Raw genomic sequence first — 20,951 nt, 5'->3', positions numbered from 1 at the left:
GAATTTTCTTTATATAAACCTCTAGATAAGGCAAAACTATGAGACAAGAAATAAAAGCAGTGACTCTCTCTGGGGAGTGGGATTGACTGAGAAAGGGTCTGGGAGAATCTTCTAGGATAAAATAAATGGTCTCTATGTTGACAGGAATGTGAGTTGCATGAGAATGTGCATTTGGCAAAGTTTATCTCACTGTAGAGATAAACTCTGTATAAAACAGTGTCTGGATGAGCCAAAACCAAAACAAAGACTTTTTTTTTTTTAAAGTTTCCTATAAGGGGCTGGGTGCGGTGGCTTATGCCTCTAATCCCAACACTTTGGGAGGCCAAGGCAGGCGGATCATGAGGTCAGGAGATCGAGACCATCCTGGCTAACATAGGGAAACCCCACCTCTACTAATAGTACAAAAAAATTAGCCGGGCATGGTGGCGGGCACCTGTACTCCCAGCTACTTGGGAGGCTGAGGCAGGAGAATGGCATGAACCCAGGAACAGACACAGAGAGTACCAGAATATAGGACTTCCATGTATATACCTTGTTCTATTGATTTCATTTTGGAACCATGTGATTATTTTATAGAATTATAATGCAAAACAAAAAAAACTGATACATTGAATGGCAAATGAATTGTACGTGTTAACTGTGCATTGCATTGCTGGCTCAACCAAAAAAATAAACGATTTCAATTAATTTTAGAGCACAGTGATTTGACAATATGCTCTGGTGGAATATCTGCCAAATGTACTCACAAAATTAGTCATATTGTTGTTGGTAATGTGAGTTTTTGTCATCCAGAGACTGCTATGTGTATTTTGTAGGATAAATTACGTGAAAAATTATGTTGATGTTTTGGAGACCAGGAGCTTCTGTCTGGAAAAAAGGTGCTGCCGATGAAGATCAATTAGGTTAAATAAAAACCAAGTGCTGACTCTGAATTAGTATTATCAGTATGGATTCAAGATGCATGCTACCATCTTAAAAAATTCATGCTTTTTTGCAGTTTCTCCTGAAAAGACCTGGGATCAATGACCAACCAAGTAGCAAAAAATGCCTCTAACATCCAGATTATAATTTCTATTATTTCTGACTAATAGGAAATAGGACATTTTGAAGAAATGGCTAAACTCAGATCTGAAAGGGAAAAAAGGTACCAAAAAAGCATGATGCTATCAAAGGCTAGAGGGAGCCTGTCAAAAAGACTCTGAAATAAGCTTAAAGAGGCCCACTCAACAAAAAAATAAAAGATGCAATGGATTAAAACGAAGCAAGTATGCTTGAATTTATTGAAAAGAACAAGTATGGTCAATTTATCTTTTAAATACTTTGGACATCTTTGGATAATGCTAAGAAACAAAATCATTATGTTGAACACTAACAAATGAAAGAATCAGGTGTTTATCCTTCTTGTCCTAGACAAACTGTACCTTAGGGTAAAAAAAATAGTTGATGTAGATATTTATCTTTACAGAATGATAAAATCACAATATTACTATTTTGCAGCCCATAATGAACCAGTGGGTCTACCTGATGGTTGTTAGCATAATACAAATAAAGAACTAAATATTAAATGACTCCTAACTGAAGCACACAACATTGTCTATGAAGCATTCTTGCCGAAAACAAAATTGAATCCAATATGATGCAACCACTGCTAGCTAGGTCTAATGACCAGCTTATATGATCCCTATTTAAACAAACAAGCTATTATGTACATTTATAAGATAATCAGGCATTTTGAGATTGAAATCTTATAAAGATATGCAAGTTCAAATGGTAGAAGGGCATCAGATACTGGGTTCATTAGATAAACTCATTTTTAAACTTGATTTATAAATTAGGCAAAGTTTTGTTGAAATATGATTGATAACTTCATTTTCCTTGATGTCACCAGTTTTCTTGCAAACTATTAGTTTGAATATTTAATAAAAGTTTTCAAAACCCATAAGAACTCTTTATTTGTAAAATTTTAACAGGTAAGATAATACCATACCTCCAATATTTTTTAAATAAGTAGAAATAATGAATAATGTCACAGATAAATGTACTCATAACACTTGCAAAAAGGAAATCATTTAACCTGAAAACAGTTTTTATATTCTTCTTCAAAATGAATTTTCTATAACCTGTGTTTCTTTAAAAATCAATGTGTTTTAGAGTGTGTGATTCCTAAAAACAGATTAATTAGGTATTATACCAGTAAAGTCCATTTGTCAAAAAATTTGGAATACCTTTTTATGTAAAAGAATAAGCATGTAGATTAGCTTTAAGTCCAACAACATTTCAACATTTTTCAAAAAAAAATCTTTAAAAAATATTTCAAAGATCCTACTATATCTGAGATGCCTTGTTATTATAAAGAGGCTATTTCTTAAGAATTTATGCACTATATGCATTTCTAAGTGTATGCACTTTTTTTTGGCCTAAATTGCTTGCCTATGAAGGATTCAGGAAATTATATTCTCTCCTCAACATTTCCCTGAAAACCATCTGAAAAATTCCAGTAAAGTGCAACCGCTTCATCAGTAACTACACTTCACAGTTATTTCCACAAACATTATTTTTATTAAAAAAATAATTTTCTGCTGAGAATATATTATCTCTGCTACAGCCCTCCTTTGGTGGTTTAAAAAAAACAAGTAGTTCTTTGTGTATGTTATTGTTGAAACAGAATAGAGAAAATACCAGCAGCTGGGACATGTTAGAAACATTTCTGCCTTCTTCCAAGGCATTGCAAAATTCCCAAGTGGGGTAGCTTCTGTCTAATATTTACAACTGTATCAATATTGTGCATCTTCCAACGATTTTATGACAAAGGAATGCATTTAAGTATATAACTGTATGTTATATCATTTTCTATGTATTATTTTGGCCATTGTTATTGTGGTAGGAAGAATAAGCATGTTTCTAAAAGTTTTTTTTTCATCATTAAGTAACATACCTCAGATAAACCTTTTAAACATTGATTATTATGTTTAGTAAAATTTTGTAAGACTCTAATTGCATTTCTTATGATTTTAAACATTACGCAGAGGTATAGGTATTTGTTTATATGTTTTTCACCACTCCAAATTCGTCATAGTAAATGTGAGAGAGTCAAGATGCCACGATCCCTGTGGGTGATTAGTTTGTCTTAATTTCTTTGCATTGGAAATCGTTGGATTTCACATTTCACATATTTCTTTATTTTATAAAAATAAACAGAAATAAGCATTTTGGTATTTTCTTCCTGTAATCAAAGGCTTTTCTTGTAAATCCATGGTGTAGGAACCCCATTTTGAAACCATGTCTCTCCTAAAATTCTACATGGGGATGAGGTTTTATTCATATTTGTAAACCTATATAAAAGCTCAGGGCTTGGCATATGCTAAATAATTGTTAATGGAGCTAAAAAAAACTGAAAGATTAGATCTCAATTAAGTTATATATTTTCTTATATATATATTCTTATTCTTTCAGAGACAGATATTTTGTCTGGTTTATTGTACTTATTATCTAAGGTTTATTTCACTCACCTTTTAATGACACTGTATATAGATATTATCAGTGTTTTACAATAACAGCCATTTCATTAAGGCAAGCAATATTTCATCATGATTCTTAAAAACAGGCTCTCCCCAAGTATCTGAAATCTGCTTTAGGATGTTACATATACAGGTACCTGCTTCCTTTAAAAGGTAGGCTCTTACCCTAAAAATAAAGCCATATACCACTCTCAATGCCATTTCCTACATTTGAGGAAGCAGGAGTCAAACCTCAAAACCATTACTGAGACATGATATCCATGATTCTCTTGGATATTCAAAGTCTACGACCAAAACAAATAATATTGCTTTGCTTCCACTTAATAATTTTATTAGGCTTAGTCTCTAAAAACATGCCTGAAATTTAAGACTTCTCCATTATTAACCGCTATTTATTGGCTTCAAATAACAGACTTGAGGTTGTAAAAAGAGGATAATTTTTACCTTAAGTGTTTGCTGGGTAACTTAGACCAGAAGCTCAATGGAAATGTTTCAGAGTAGAGCTCCAATTTTAGCTGCATTTGTAGTTCACAAATGCAATTATAAGGAGCCAAAAACCTCTAAGTTATGCCACTTACAATTCCAAATTCCAATCAGTCAATATTTATAGAGCACCCACTGGGTGGAAAATGCTGTAGCAGTACCATGCATAAAAACAAAATCAGCATTTTATTACAAGGAATAAACAATACAGTTGGGACACCACTGTGTCAAACCCTTAATATCATGCTATTGACTCAGACATAAAATTGAATGGCATGTTAATAAGTGAATGCACTCCAGTGTTTTTTGATTCTACAATACTAACATCTCATGCATGATCTGTCACACTGTGGTTGCTGCACTGTTTTGAGCAACCAGATACAGCTTGTTGATCAATTCCACCCGTCATTGAGATGCTAAGGCAAGTTTCCTAGGTTCTTTTTGAATGAAGCCTTTTAATCTCTTCCTGTAAATAATGAAAGAGAATTAGGGCCTGATTCCCAAAGAGAAGACTGAAACTCTCAAATAAGAAAGGGGAAGAAAAAAACTGAGGGTGCCTCCAAAATAAAAGGTGTACCCAATGACAGTTAAAAAGATCATCCCCACCTAGGAGTCAATATGCATCTCTGAGCAGCAAATATTACTAACAAGTGTGCTAGGAATAATGGAGGACCCAACTAGAAAGATGGGATTGTCAGGGAACCAACATTAATTAAGCCTACATCCAAAAAAGAAATCAATAATTTCACTAGTGTTACAAGAAGGCCTTGGATCTGAGTGCATATCTGGGTATGTGTGTGGAAGCCTGCTTGGGGAAATTTTGTCCTGTGGCCTGGGGGAGGAGGATATCATATTAATATTTTGTTGAATTTGGAGCAAATAGCAGAGCACCCAAAATTATTTAGGAAATTCGATCAGAAACAAGGCAAAATCAACAGCAACGTCCAGTTTAGGATAAGGTTGGGGGTGAGGGTGAAAGAGGTAAGGCAGTAGTAAGATAAAACAATAGTTTTAAGAAGTTGTCCTGGATAATTCATAACGTATAGTTTAGGGTAGTTTTTCCCTTGAATGTAGAGAACATTCCCTGGAGAGAAAGTGCTACCTTCAGAAGGCCAATTTTAGGCTAATAAGAAGCAAATTTCCCTTTTCTCTTAGGCCTTAAACACAGAGACACCAGAGACTTCTGGGAGTGTGGGTGAGGGTGGGAAGGGGATTAGAGGCCACCTACTGCAACATTTATTTGTTTGTTCATTAAAAAATATAATGAGTAAATGCTGAAAACCAGGTACTGTCGTAAACTGGGAATAAGATTAACATATTCTCTACATCACTGAGTTTGCATCTTTGTGGGGGAGACCAAGTCATACATAAATAAATTACATAGCTTCAGATAGCTAAATACACCATTAAGAAAACAAAACAGAGCAGGACTTGAGAACAAAGGAGGAGGGGATAAGGAGGCTATTTCAGAGAACTTTGTCAGATCATTGTGAGATGATTTTAATGGGGCTGGAATTACATGAAGAAATGAAGCAGGCAAAAGCTCTGGGGACAGAAATATTTCATGAGGAAGTAGCAAGTAAAAAGCCCTGGAGGCAGGCCCAGGCTTGGTGTGCTAAGGATAGAGAAGTCAGTGTGGAGGGAGTCAAATGCTGGGAGTGGTCAAAGTGGCCTTTGGCACTTTGGGTGGCAGTACCCATGTCCTGTAGACTGTTGTAGGATACTTAAAGATTTAGTTTTTATTGCAGGTATTGTAGGAAGCAGTGAAAAGTTTTGAGCAGAGAACAGTGTGATCCGATTAATTATTTAAAAGTTATCCCAATGTTTCTGCTTTATGATGAGAGCTACACCTGGATCTGTGATACTTTCATCCCTGTCTTATTTCTAGTAGCACTATGATCCAGGGCATATGCCAAATATTTGCCTTAATATTATTCCGGCAATGTCTACCAGGCAGAGGTTTAAATTCTTTAGAGGTTAACTATAGGAAGGAAAGTAGTGAATAAAGCCAATCTTTAAAAAATGAAGTCCATGAAGCAAAACTTTCAGGATGTGAAATGTTCTCTAAGATAGTCAAGTCCTTCTGTTGTTGCAGGATGTAGTAACAACAGAGTAGACTTCTACTGAAAAAATCAGTGCCAAAAATTCCTAAATGATGATCAGAATCAAAATAAAGCTTTGGAACAGAATTAGGCAACAGACAGATGCTTCTCGATTCAGGGTCTGCTCCCCAGTGTTCTTACACTGACTGCCACTTTTTTTTCAGGCAACAGGGGCACATTCCCTATTGCAGCCAGGGACATCTGTTACTGGCCACCTATTTGTTTGAAAACAACTATTTGTTTGAAAATCCCCAGGAGGAATAAGTTAAAGAGATCTGTTCTGTACCATGGTGACAGTAGTTAATAACAACATGTTGTATACTTAAAATTTGCTAAGAGTGTGTATTAGTTTGTTCTCACACTGCTAATAAAGACATACCCGAGACTAGGTAATTTATAAAGGAAAGAGGTTTGATTGACTCCCAGTTCCACATGGCTGGGGAGGCCTCACAGTCATGGCAGAAGGCAAATGAGGAGCAAAGTCATGTCTCACATGGCGGCAGGCAAGAGAGTTTCTGCAGGGGAACTCCCATTTATAAAACCATCAGATCTCGTGAGACTTATTCCACAAGGACAGTATGGGGGAAACCACCTCCATGATTAAATTATCTCCACCTGACCCCACTTTTGACATGTGGGGATTATTACAATTCAAAGTGAGATTTGGGTGAGGACACAGCCAAACCATATCGGAAAGTAAATTTAAAGTGCTCTAACTACAAAAAAAGATACATATATCAGATGATGCATATGCTAATTAGCTTCATTTAGTCATTCCATATGTATGCACATATCAAAACATGATGTTGTACACCATGAATGTATATACTTTTTATTTGTCAATTAGAAACATTATGTGAAAAAAATAGACACTTTCTTTTTGTGTACCCTTTTTCTTTTCCTTCAGATTAATCATCTGGCTGTGTCTCTATATTGTCAAAACTCCTAGTTAATTCTCTCTACCAATAAATTTAATTTTTGATCATTTCCATGCCTATACTCAGAACTATATTCAGAGTAAATAGAACAGCTTTTGAAAATGACTTTTTCTATGCAGAGAAAGGGTTGAATCTCTCCCACTTAAAGCTGTGTGATCTCATGCAAATAACCTTAACCTATCTGGACCTCAGTTTTCTAATAGGAATAATTTCTACCTCATAAAGCTATTACGACAGTAGATGAAAAGAAAAAAAGTATTAATTTGTTTGATATTTCCAGCACCATGTTCATGATAGGTAAAATAAATGATGACTTTCATAATTAAAGTTGTTAAAATGACCGTCAGCAGTGCAGCACAGTCCTTTGATTAAAAGAAAGAACACAGTGAGCCTATAACAATTTCTGGTTCCTGATCCACCTAAAAAATACAGGCAACCATATGAGAGGAGTTTTGGAAGGAAGGTCAAGAAGTTATTAGAAGATGTGACTATTTTCAACTGAACTTTACATAAGACACCACCAAAGAGCTCAACTTCCAAATGTGTGCCATAAGCCTTAAACAAAAAATGTTAAATAATGAATAAAATAATATAATTAAACATTTATGAAACAGAACAGTCTCTCAGGGTGATTTCTCTATGACCCTCAGTTTTACTTACATTCCTCTGCAGGCACACTTAAGTAAAACCCTAGGAAACACAAGAGATTATTTTTCCAAGTGTTGGCATCTACATTACTTTAAAATGATATTTCTTATTTTTAGAAAGAGAATCACTTTTTTTTTCCAAAGGAGTATAACAGTTTCTTGGCCTTTACCTCTGAACTCTCACCTTCCCAAAAGGCATCTCCAGCAATGTACAAACTCCTCCATAAGAAATGATTTAATTTGGCAAATGACAAAAATACCAATTAACTTTATGTTAATTGACTCAACTGTGTGATGTCTGGAAAATTTGATGACTCACAAGAAAGTCTGACAAAAATGTTTTCACATCAGAGGGAAATTGCAAAACTTCTGGCCGTGCACCAAATAGGCCAACTTTGGCAACATCCTGTAATAAACACTAGGAGAAAATTGTTAGGTATGCAACAATTTATTCAGGACATTTTTTTAAAGGTTTCCATTGGATAAAATGGCCTTTTCTTTTTTCATTTAATCTTGAGCGCCTGTCTGTGTTTGGCATTCTTCACAGTGAACTACTAATTAGAACCAGACCCAGCACAAGCATCTCTGAAATTCTCCTCAGTTAACTGTTGACCTGTAACATTCATGATTCCTACTGGACAACTATTATGCAGGTACTTGCCTTAAAAATAAAACACACACACACACAAACTTCTTGTATCAGATACATTAGGATTAAATTGCAAACTTGACTTTTTCCTTAGTATGGAGTTACCAGTAGTGAATATTATCTTCATCTAATGGGCAAAATGCAGCAATAATGAGAAGCTATTTAGTACAATGGTCATGAGCTTGGGCTCTGTCATTGACCTAGGCCTCTATTTTAATCACAAATTCTTTGCTTATTAGCTGAGTGACCTTGGACTTGTTAGTTAACCTTTTCAAGCCTCAATTTCTGATCTGCAAAACAGAGCTAGCAATATTAATTCCTCTAATTAAGAGTTAAATCAAGGATAAAATAAAATAAATTTTATAAAGTTTTCAAGCAGTGTTTAGCAGATTTGGGATGTATTACATTGTTTTATACACTTGTAAATTCAGAATAAAAGAAGCAAATTTTATTTATACATATTGGGTTAGATATACAACCAGGATAAGCTATATTCATTACTTCACAGATTTAGATGGGAAAAAATATGATCCCTTCTAGCAGATATTGGTTAGTTTTATTTTGTGGAATACATGTAATTTTAGTTTCAGCACTCAAATCAGTCAAAAGAGTTGGGCCAATTTTGTCTGTAAACATTACTTGAGATTGACTCAATTCTAAAATTATGTAATTTTGTCTTTTGTTTCTGAAGCCTGATACATTGGACTGGGACCAACCAACTATAAGAAAAACAATACAACATTAATTTTATTTGGATCCATCTTATATTTCTATGTATTCAGACAAGTTAGCCACTCCCCCATGATGAATTATTTATAATGAGTTACCATATCTTAAGAAATTTATATATATTAAAATACACAAAACAAATAAAACCACACTTCTAAAAAGAAGCAAACTCTCTGGACTTCTAAAGAACAGGTGACCTAAAATGGTATGCTCACTGTTCTCTGAAAGTCAACCAGAGGATGCCAAATTACAGTACCCACTCCAGACTTCCTACAATATTAAGCATTTAGAAATGTTAATATTTCTAAAACAGTAACCCAATCAAGATGAGAATAATGATTGATCTTCATGGAATGTGGAGAAGAAACAGAAGGAATCCCAAAGGTGGCAATTTACAATAACACAAAGATGTGCAGTTTGAAACTGTCATCTTGCATAGTACCTAGAAATGAATAGGAAGAAAATAAGAACTGCAAAAAGATTATTCCCTTTTGCTCCAGGAATTTAGGAGAAAAGTTTAGGAGGCATGAGTCTTCTGGATAGTTGTCCAGGGACTTTCAGTAGTATCCCACAGGCTTGGAGAGCTTCGGAAAAGATGCTACAGGGCTTTAAATGTACAGCAACTGAAAAAGTACTTTTAACCCTGTTGACTTGTTGGTACCTCACAGAAGCACATTCGAAAGAAGCATCACTGAAGAGAAAGTCAAATTGAATCACAACAAAAACTTGTACTTCCTAGCAAGCAGTTTTATTTGCTTCTTCAGATTTGGCAAAAGGCATTTTCAATTTTGTCTTTAATTTGAACTCTTAATGTTATATTGAGGGAGGATGACATGGAAAGAAAGACTCAAATTGAAGACTTTATGTGGCTTATAGCAATAATTCTTCTTAATTTAAGATGGTCTTCTATCTTCTAGACTTATAACTTGAAGTTTATGAGTGTCAAGACAGAAAAAAATAGGTCAAGAATGCTTTTGTAGCTTGACATAATAAAAGGAGATGCTTAAAAGTTTTGAGAAATGATCAAAATATGCCTTTCACAATTCGGTAATCCCAAGGAAAGCTGAGGATAAAATTTCTAATACACAGGGAATGAACATGCCAATATTTATATATTTCAAAGTTGTCTTAAAAATAAATATGCTTAGCAGAATACATGACATGTTATATACACATGAAAGAGATAGAGAGAAGGGGAGAGAAAGAGAAATGGAAGAAGGAAGAAAGGAAGAAGAAAGGAGGAAGGAAGGAAGGGAGGGAGGGAAGGAGGGACGGAAGGAGGGTAAAAGAAAAAGAAAGGAAAGAAAGAAAGACAGAAAGAGAGGGAGAGAAAGAGTGAAAGAAAGAAAGATTAGGTCTTTTTTCTTTGTTCCAGGCCTACCAGTTGATAAGACCTCCCTGAAAGGAGGTTTTGGAAAGGCATTCTAAACTCTTACCAATGACTGATGATGTTATAGACTTCATGCTTAACCAATTTTCAGATGACATGAAGTATATTAGAGGCTATCTAACCTATTGACCATCTGTCAGAATCCCTCCCTCCCCACACACAGAAAAAGATAAATGGAGTGAAGAGAAGAATCTAATAGGTTTTTAATTTTATTTTAAATGTAGAAGCACAGTACATATTCACTCTAAAAAATAATCTTAGAAAAAAAATCAAACAAGAAAGAAGGCTATAAAGTGAATATTATAAGATTCTTTTATTTTTTCTTGGACTTCTACAATCTTTTCAAATATAATCACGCCTCAATGTTTCTTGCTTACCTTTTCAATATTTTCTATGTGACTATATGCATATAGATACATATGTAGCTAATTTGTATACATTTTCTAAAGGTTGCATAAATGGATCAAGTTACACATACACACACACATATACAGAGAGACCTATATGTAGTATGTATGTATGTATGTATGTATATATGTATACTCATACATAATTCTTGTTAGCAATTGCATGACAATCCATTATATGAACTAATATCTATTTAACTAATTTCCTATAGATTGAGATTCAGGTTTACATATAATGCTGAAATAAACAATGTTATACACAGATCTTTATGCACTAACGTGAGTTTTAAAAAGTGGAATTATTGGAGCAAAGTGTGAAAATACATGAAAACTTTTGTTAACTACTAGAAAATCTCTAGGAATGTCCAAACTCAAACTCAGCTCACAAAACAAAATCCTAATGAAACAAGCATGGATCTGAATAAAATACTCAGAAAACACAATACAAATATAGAGGATATAAGACATGAAGAATATAATATAATAACAACTAAGCCTATCATAATAAAATTATAGAACACAAAAAATAAATTTCAAAAGCAAATAAAGAGGAAATGCAGATAATATAAAAAGGAAGGAAAATTAGACTGACAGTAAACATCCTTACAACAATATAGAAAGTAATACTTGGAATGGAACACAGCACAGGTTTAAAAAAATCATAGGAGTTTGAGTTAAGAATATACTCATTCTCAGCCAAAATTAAGCAGTGACTTCCAAAATAAACTAATATGAATTTAGAGAAACATAGTAACAATATCAGAATAGCGGGGGGAAGAGGTTTTAGAAGTGACGTGCTATTTACTTGTAAAATTACACTGGGAATGTGGGACTTATTTCTATTACTATCTTGTTTCAAGTGAAGATATTCTAAGTTCTGTTCTTAAAGGAGCTGGTGAAGGAATTGGGGATTTGGAGAAGTCATAGAGATCACAACAGCTATTTTTAAATAGTGTCAAATTTGAGTGCTCGCCACACAGAAAATAAGTTAGATATGTCCTACATGGGATAAATTTGAATGATTGTCATACTGAATAGGAATTAAATATGTTCTGTACCTGAGAACCACATGTGCATTGTCATATTCTGAGGAAACAATGATCTCATTATTACAAATATTCAAAGATGGAATGAGCTCTTTTAAAAGGTAGTGAGAGTCTCATCGTTGGAGATATTCAAAAGAAGGCAGGAAGAAACTTGGCAAGTAGACTATAGAGAGAAATCAGGAAGTACACGAAAAAAAGTAAGCTTTAAAGTTTATGTCAGTTGGCCTGGAAGAACAGGAGCATGCACTGAGGGTATCTCTCTGGAGAAAATAACAGCAATGAGTGGAAACCACCTCCCACAAAATCCCATCTTTACCAGCAAAGGCCTCAGTCTTTTTATACCATCAAAGACCAAAGCAAGGAAAATGCAACAGTTAAATGCTGGCCTCTTTTAAGAACATAATTTAAAAAATAATCCTCTTATTTATATGGATTTTTAGTTGTAAAATCTATCCAGTATGTTTACTCACTTCATGTCTTCAGCCCTATGGGAAGAATTAAAAGAAAAAAAAGCTCTAGTGGCCAATAACAATATTGAGTGTGCAGATTTCTCTATTTTCAGTACAATATTTTGTGTTCCACTGTACATTATTTATTTTGATAAAGTTAAATTATTGAGTGAAACAGAGGAAAGGGCAATTTGAATAAAAATTCAGTATAGTAGTTGATGGCACTAAACTCAGGAGAGGTATCAAACTATGGAATCACACATGGATTCAAGTGATTACTTTGTTATTTACTAATTTACTCTGTGACCCTAAGCAAGAGCTCAATCTCTCCAACCCTCACTTTTTCGCCTGTGAAATGAAGATAATGGTAACTACCTTGCAAAGCCATTAGGAAATTTAAGTAAGAGGGCAAAAACCTAGCCGAGTCCTGGTGCAGTTAGTACTTGATTTATGTTAGTTTTTTTTCTCTTCAATTAATTGATTCATTTTGTAAAACTTGTTTAGAGCAATGAAGAAAAATATTTTCATAACACTAAGCAGCATGAAGGTAAGAATCAAATCCGGTTGTTTACCATGATAGACCTAGGACTTGGCACAAAGGAAGTCCCCAAAAATAATTAGGTTGATATTGTAATTTATAAAATTTAATTATATAGATTTGAAAAAACAAGTTAAGATTAAAATTTTCCCCTTATTTTCCTTCCATTCTATGACATGAATTACTATGCTAAAGCAATGATCTTGTCTTAAAATTTGGAAAAAAGTAACGATTTTGTACTTTGAGATACTATATCTCATCAGAAGCTGTATTTCCTTATCTTCAAATACAAGAGGCCACATACTTTACAGGACAACTTCATGGGACAGGCCAAAACCCAAGATCCCTAACATCTGACTTTGTGACCAACAAAAGCTGCCTTTTAAGTTTGTATTTGTAGATGTCATTTTAAAAAATCAATTTCCCATTTCGGCATAAGAGTCAAGGACCACATTTTCAACAGAATACATCTGGTTTGCATTTCATTTCCAACTTCAACACCAGGTGTCTTTCATGTGTATTTAATTTTAGAGAGAGGGAGCACCTCAGACATGGAATGATTTGAAGTGGTTTAATAATACAGATAAAGCATATGCTGATATTGTATTTCCAGAATACAATTACTTCTTATTGGTGATGTTGCTATTATTGTTGGTATGGACTGAATTGAAATTACCTTTCAAGTTGTAGGCTTGGGATATAAGACAGTAAGCCTGATTTTAGGTACACAGTGAGCTCACATACATTCATGAATAAACACTGTATACACTCAATGAGAGTTTCAGAAACTAGGACACCCCCCCACCCCCCAAAAAAAGAAGAAAGGAGGGAGGAGGGAAGAAGAGTGGAGGTGAGGGGGAGAGAGAGAAACAGAAAGAGATTTTTTCACCAACATCTTTATCAAATAATTAGTCATCCTTGGGAAATGTGGCTCAATCTCTTTCAGAGTGTGAAATTTAAACAGAAGAATAATTATTACATTAGTTACAAAAACCAAGCCGTCTTTAGGGAAAATGTTTTGATTAATGAAAATCAGTTTCATCTCCTTGTATACAGAGTGCTATAAAATGATTTCCATTGGGAGAATGAGTCCACTTTTTTTTTTTTTTTTTTTTTTTGATATGCAGTTTTGCTCTTGTTGCCCAGGCTGGAGTACAACAGCGCTATTTCAGCTCACTGCAATCTTTGCCTGCTGGGATCAAGCAATTCTCCTTCCTCAGCCTCCTGAGTAGCTGGGATTACAGGCATGCACCACCATGCCTGGCTAATTTGTATTTATAGTAGAGACGGGGTTTCACCATGTTAGCCAGGCTGGTGTTGAACTCCTGACCTCAGGTGATCCACCTGCCTCGGCCTCCCAAAGTGCTGAGATTACAGGCATGAGCCACCATGCCCGGACGAGTCCACTATTAATTTAAACAGACCCCACGGTATGAGTCCATACACAGTGTTTATTGCCTCTGGTGATCAGAAAATCACCAACCATATACAATGCTACTGGTTTTAACAGAGTATATGAAGTTTTATTTCTAAAGCAAGTAAATATCACTAAATATTGATAACCAAAAGAGATTGTTTATATTGTAAAATCACTAATACTCAGAAACAATTTTTTTGGAAAAACATAATAATGATTTTTCTTGAACACTCTAAATAGAAATTGGCATGGACGTGACAGGACAATAATTTATGTAAAATCAAGATAATACTAAATATGCAGCCTATATTAACTAATTAGCTAATAAATTAATCACAACACATGAGAGAAACCTAAAAGTATAATTCTTTATTATTAAGCAACCAACTCTAAATCTAAAATCTTCTTTCAAATTTCCTTGAAACTATATGTTCTGCCTTTCAGGGTAAGCTTTCAACAAACACAGTGCTTAGTTTGTAATAAAAAAACAAAAACAAAAACAAAAAACCTCTTTATCTGTGTTTCTTAGTTGAAAGGTAAGTCTTCACAGAATGCAAAATATACAGAGGTCAAGTTTACTTGGTACATGATTATATCACGGCTTAACATCTCTTTATCCATATTATGACATGCTTTGTAAACAATCAATACAAAAACATAAGAAAAATTTGGGTTCAAACTATTTATGCCAGAAATGCTCAGACAACTTCTTGCATTAGGTAACTCATGGTTACGGGGGGATCATGAGAACTCTCCAGAGCCACTTTCTGGGGGCACTCAGCAGCTTGCACCCCTAGGATTGGGCGATGCAGCATGTTTCTGTGTGTCAGTCACATATCCAGAGGCCTTTCAGAAAGCCCAGCTTTGTGTCCAGCTCATTCCTGCAATGACAGTACTGAGAAATAATTTTACCTCTTTGAACTTTAATAGTAGGTATTAAATAAGCTAATGCATCGCATGTACATACTTATTGTCTGGTCCACAGTAAGCAGTCAGTACATAATTATAATCTTTATAACTACTATTATTATTATTTTCATTAACTCCTAACCCAAGGGGAGGACAGTTGCTTAATGGAACCTTATCAGAGCACACAGGGTGAAATACAAAGACTATCAACAAACAAACTCAGACATCTTTAGTTAGCTTGAAATTATAGAATGAAAAAACACACTCCTACAAGCTAATTAAGATTAAGGATCACATTTTCCCTTAAGAAAAGCTGAAAATAAATTGGGCTTTTCTGCCTATCTCAGTTTAAAGACTATAAGCCTTATTAAAAGCATAGTATATAATGGCTTTTCATTAATTTGATTTATTTAGATGTAAAGAAACTGGAGAGATGCACATCCTGAACTTAATATATATCCCAAACTCCTAAACTGAAGAAGGAATGGAATAAGCATATACTCCATACTCCAGAAGCAGAAACTAATGTTTTAAAGGTTGGAATTATTTCACTTACACTCTAACACATGGAAGGATTTTTTTCCATATAAACTGCAAAGACTTGAAAATAAAGATTGATAATAGAAATGCCACATGACCCCAAGGTGAACTTGGTGGGTAAGCCAAGATGCAAGAGGTCAGAGTTATTTCCTTATGACTTGATTCCTCATCTGCCTAACTCCCTTAGAGATCTGCAGAGCTTGTAGTAGTTAACTGGCAGCAGCTGGGTTGGTTATCAAAGCCATGCATTAGATAAACATTTATTGAGTTATCTATTGTAGACCCAGATGCTGGGTTAAACTGTAGAGATAAAAAGATGACAAAGACACTTCTGCTGCTGCCATCTGTAAAGTTCAGTGACCCTAGAAACATGAAAATAGCGAGTGACTGTACAGCATGATGACAAGTTACCAAAGCACTGCCAAAATGCAACATATTATGTCCAGCTACAGGAAGGGGCATTCTAATTTACCCAAGGGATAGAAAAGACTTCACTGAAGTTGTAATACTAGAAACAGTGGTTCCAGAATACCTGCCTAGGAAAGTCTTGGGGCAGCAATTTGGTCACCAGTGAGTGGCTTACAGTTGTGTTTGCATACATAGCGCTTTTTACTAGATTAATAGATAAAATGTCACTCTTCACAGGAGAAAAAATGTGGAGGGGAGTGGGCATATATTATGAGAGTGCTGAAGTTGTTCTGAGTCTCTCTCTCTCTCCTCTCAGTGCCACAACTAATTTCAACTGAATGTTTAAAGATGAACAGAGGTTTGCAAGATTGAAACGGTGAGCAAGGATTTCCCTGGCAGGGAGACAAGAGAGAAAAATAGAATTCGGAGATTACAATAATTTAATTGTGAGAAGAAGTGGGTCTTGTTCTGGCGGCACATTAGAATCCCTTCATGGAATTTCTTTTTAATGCCAATGCCAAATTTTATCTCAACTAATTAAACCATAGGCTCTAGAAATGAGGTGCTGTCGTTGGTTTTTGCTAAGTGATCCCAAGGTGATTCTAATGTGCATGCTGGCTTAAAAACTATTGATCTAGAAAGTGTTTGCAGAGACATGGAAGAAGATGTGACTGGGAAATTACTAACCTCGAATCCTTCATTATCTGGAAAAGAGAGATTATAATACCTAGTGCATAGGCTTGATGTGGGCATTAACTGGGAAAAAGTAGAAAGTAAGATTGGTAAGATTTATAAGTGCTTATAATAATACAGAAACTCTTCAAAGTATTAGTATTTTGTACATATTCTAAATTTATTTAATCTCCATAAAGCCATAGTAAAACATTTAAAGGTGAGGAATCTGATAAAATGAGGACTCTGAGGTCACATAACTGATAAGTCTGCCAGGCGGCCTTCAGAGAGCCTTGTTTTTAAGCTTTGCTTTTCCCAGGGTGCCTGGCATCTGGGAGGAACCAATAAATATAGATGATCATTCCTATTGTTACTAATTTAAAAGATAAAAAAGAAATATATAAAAAAATAGAGAGGGTTTGTCTTTGGGTAGTGGGCCTATGGATGCTATATTTATTCTTCTATTGTTCTGTATTATCTTTAAATTACTTTATCACGAACTTTCAACTTTATGGTACAATAAAATAAAAACATAAAATAAGTTAAAAACAATAATAATCCAAGTTCTATTTCTGCTTCCACTACTGTCAGAATAACTTCACTGAATTGAAATGCGGATGATATTTAGCTGTGACTTTCAATATTTTTAGCAGTGGAATTCTTTGTTTTAAGAAAGTCTATTTTAGAAGTCCAATCTGGTAAACAGACCAACACATAGCTTCTCTGATTATAGTACAGGAGGGGAAAGAGATTTCAAGAAATCTCTTGTAGGGGACACAGAGTAGTGAGGCCTGAGCTATCATCACCCTATAAAATACGCACACACACACACACACACACACACACACACTCGGGAGAGACATGGTTAAACTGTAGAAACAAACAATCTCAAGTTTAAGTCACTTTATTCAACAAGAATTTCTTGCTCATGCTCTATGTCTAAGATAAGTAAGTGTAAGTGATGGGCAAGGAAAGATGGAGGTAGTGGATTCAGCTCCACATAGTCACTCAGGGATCCAAGCTAAGGAGACTTCTCCAGCTCATTGCTTTACTTTCAGAAGTTCATGGACTTTTTGGTTATGAGGATGGGGAAAGAGACAGATTGAATAATTACATAGAGTCTTTATTTGACTTAACCAGGAAATGAAATGTGTGGCTTCTACTGACATTTCACTGGCCAGAAATAGTTATATGGCCAAGTCAGCTATGAAAGGGCTGAGAAATGCAGTCTCCCACATGCCTGCTAGAATAGGAGTAGTTATCAACGAAACCCAGCAATGTTCACTATATGCATCAAGGGGGCCTAAGAGATTCCTCAGAGCACAGTTTTAATACACCACTAAAAGAGGTGTTTCATCATACCCTTTCTACTCAAGTAGTCTGTGAATGTTTGCGTCCTACAAAGACTTTCAACAACTCTCCTTTCTTACTCCTAATATTAAACAGAAGACATAAATCTATATTGTATTACCTTATTTATCCTTCCTGTGCTTATGTCTTTGGGTGCAAATAAATGCTCATTAACTCTCTTTACATGAGCACAACCCATAATATCGCTATGTACTTTGCTTTTCATTCAGTATCATTTTCCAATTGAAATAAGGATTTCATGAGAACAACAAAAGCTCTACATTCAAATAAATTCCAGAAATACTGGATAAAACAAAATTAAACAGTTATATTTATTGCAGAATTACTTGCTTTTAATATGGCTGCATGATTTAAATTTTGCATAAGGTAGTTATGCAGCACTTCTCAATCTAAATATTCTTTTAATTAGACAATTACACAAAATTTTCAGAACTCCCTAGAGCACAGTTATAAAACTACTGCATATATTAGAATATGGCATCTACAACACAACCAATATTTTGATACTGATAGATGTGCTGTGAACCATGTTTTGGCTTGTCTATTGTTTCTTAATACCTTTAACAGCCACAGAAGTGAGGTGTAGATAATCAAGTTCCCAAATCCCAAATCCCACATGATAGTGGGTGTGAAGTCTCTCAGCAGCAGTGCCTCTGATCTGACTGTAACGGTGCTACACAAAAATCTATGCATGTTGCTATGCAAAAGGGGGTTCTAGTTTTCAACACTAAACCTGATAAAGAAGTGAGAAAATCTTCCCCTCTAAGGGAGGAGAATGTGACCATCATCTGTGTCCACAGAGCACATCCAGTGAAAAGCAGACCAAAAGAACAGAGCATTCAGGCCACAGAGAGCAACAGGATGAAGCAGACAGATAAACACGATACCTAGGATTAACTGGCACAATCCAACACTTTGCAGAAGCTTTTCAAAGTAGATGTCTGAATAAACAAATTGATAAAGACTAGGGGACTTTTTTCAATGTATATAAATGAGGCTTGAAATTAAAATAAAGGATCACAAAAAGAAAAGTTACAATCTGAACCTAGATGATGATATTTTGCAAGATGCGAATGTCGCATGTTACAAAAAATTTTAGGAGAATTCAAACGATTACCACACCTCTGTCCATAATCTATCCCCTTAGACTCACTGACCTAGGGCTTTTGCCAATTTATTTGTGAAATGACATCAGTTTCATCAGAAAAAGAAAGAAACAGCCAGAATCCAGAAATGATCATCCTTGACCAGATGCCTTTTGCCAACACTGGCCTCTGAGAGAGAGGCTCACTTGATGTTCTGGACAAAAATACTCTTTATTACTTGATAGACCTTAGCCCTGAGTTCTTCTTTGGTCTTCTATGCCACAAACTTGGCTGGCTGCTGTGAGAAACATACAGGTTTTCTCTTGACACTCTTGTCTCCAGTTTGCCTAAGCAGATTTTTGTCTGCACGTTTGTCTCAGACCAAGCTCAGCCTTTGTAGTTTCATCATTATAAATGGTAAGAAGAGACATGGGAAGAGAAACCCACAGAAAAATTAGCATCATTTTTGAAGCCTAGTATAGAGCTGTCCAAGTCATTCCCTAGATGCTTTTCTTCCTGTCATGGGCATTATAAGCAGTAGGAAAAGGAGTAGGAGGCCACTTCTAGTTGCATGATAATGCCATTGTCACTCTCTAGCACTGCAGCCCAGTGGGATCCCTGGGGGTTAGGTATATGACATCAGACTGTATATAAAAGGGCACTTCAAGAATTTCATGGAAAAATGAAATTAAAAGATAAAAGTAAAAACTATACACTTTATTACTCAACACAAGCTCCACCAAGTTTAAGACACTTTTGTAAGCAAGGATATCAGTCATTTAGTCCAGCCCTTGAAAACTAAGGGTCTTAGGAATTTAACCATGCCAATGCAGTCTTTTTTACATGATTGATGGGAAAAAATGAGTGCCCTCTAAAGATTTTTTTTAAGATTAGGAAACAAAAAAGTCAGAAGGAACCAAATTAGGACCATAAGGTGAATGTCTAATAATTAATTTCACATTGAAACTCTCACAAAATTGCCCATGTATGATGAGGAGGAATGAGCAGGAGCATTGTCGTGGTGAAGGAGGACCCTCTGGTAAAGCTTTCTTGGGCATTTTTATTCTAAAGTGTTGGTTAACTTTCTCAGAACACTCTCATAATGAGCAAATGTTATTGTTCTTTGGCCCTTCATTAAGTCAACAAACAGAATGCCTTGAGCATCCCCAAAAAAACTGTTGCCATGACCTTTGCTCTTGACCAGTCTGCTTTTGCTTTGACTGGCCCACTTCCACCTCTTGGTAGCCATTGCTTTGATTATGCTTTATTAAGCCATGTTCCATCTCCTGTTACAATTCTTTGAAATAATGCTTCAGGATCTTGATCCCACTTGTTTCAAATTCCATTGAAAGCTCTACTCTTGTCTGCAGCTGATCTGGGCATAACAGTTTGGCACCCATGATGTGGAAAATTTGTTCAACTTTAATTTTTCAGTCAGAATTGTGTAAGCTAAACCAACTGAAATGTCGATGGTGTTGGTAATCATTTCTGATGTTTATCATCAGTTGTCTTCAATTAGGGCATGAACAAGATGAAGTTTTTCCTGACAAATTGATGCAAATGGTTTGCTGCTGCAGGCTTCTTCCTTAATATTGTCTTGTTCTTTCTTAAAATGCATTATCAATTTGTAAATGCTGATTTCTTTGGGGTATT

This window comes from Homo sapiens, chromosome 8 (genome assembly GCF_000001405.40).
Source record: "Homo sapiens chromosome 8, GRCh38.p14 Primary Assembly".
NCBI classification, from domain to species: Eukaryota; Metazoa; Chordata; class Mammalia; order Primates; family Hominidae; genus Homo; species Homo sapiens.
The sequence above is the reverse complement of the archived record's forward strand: the minus strand, read 5'-3'. Positions refer to the sequence as shown.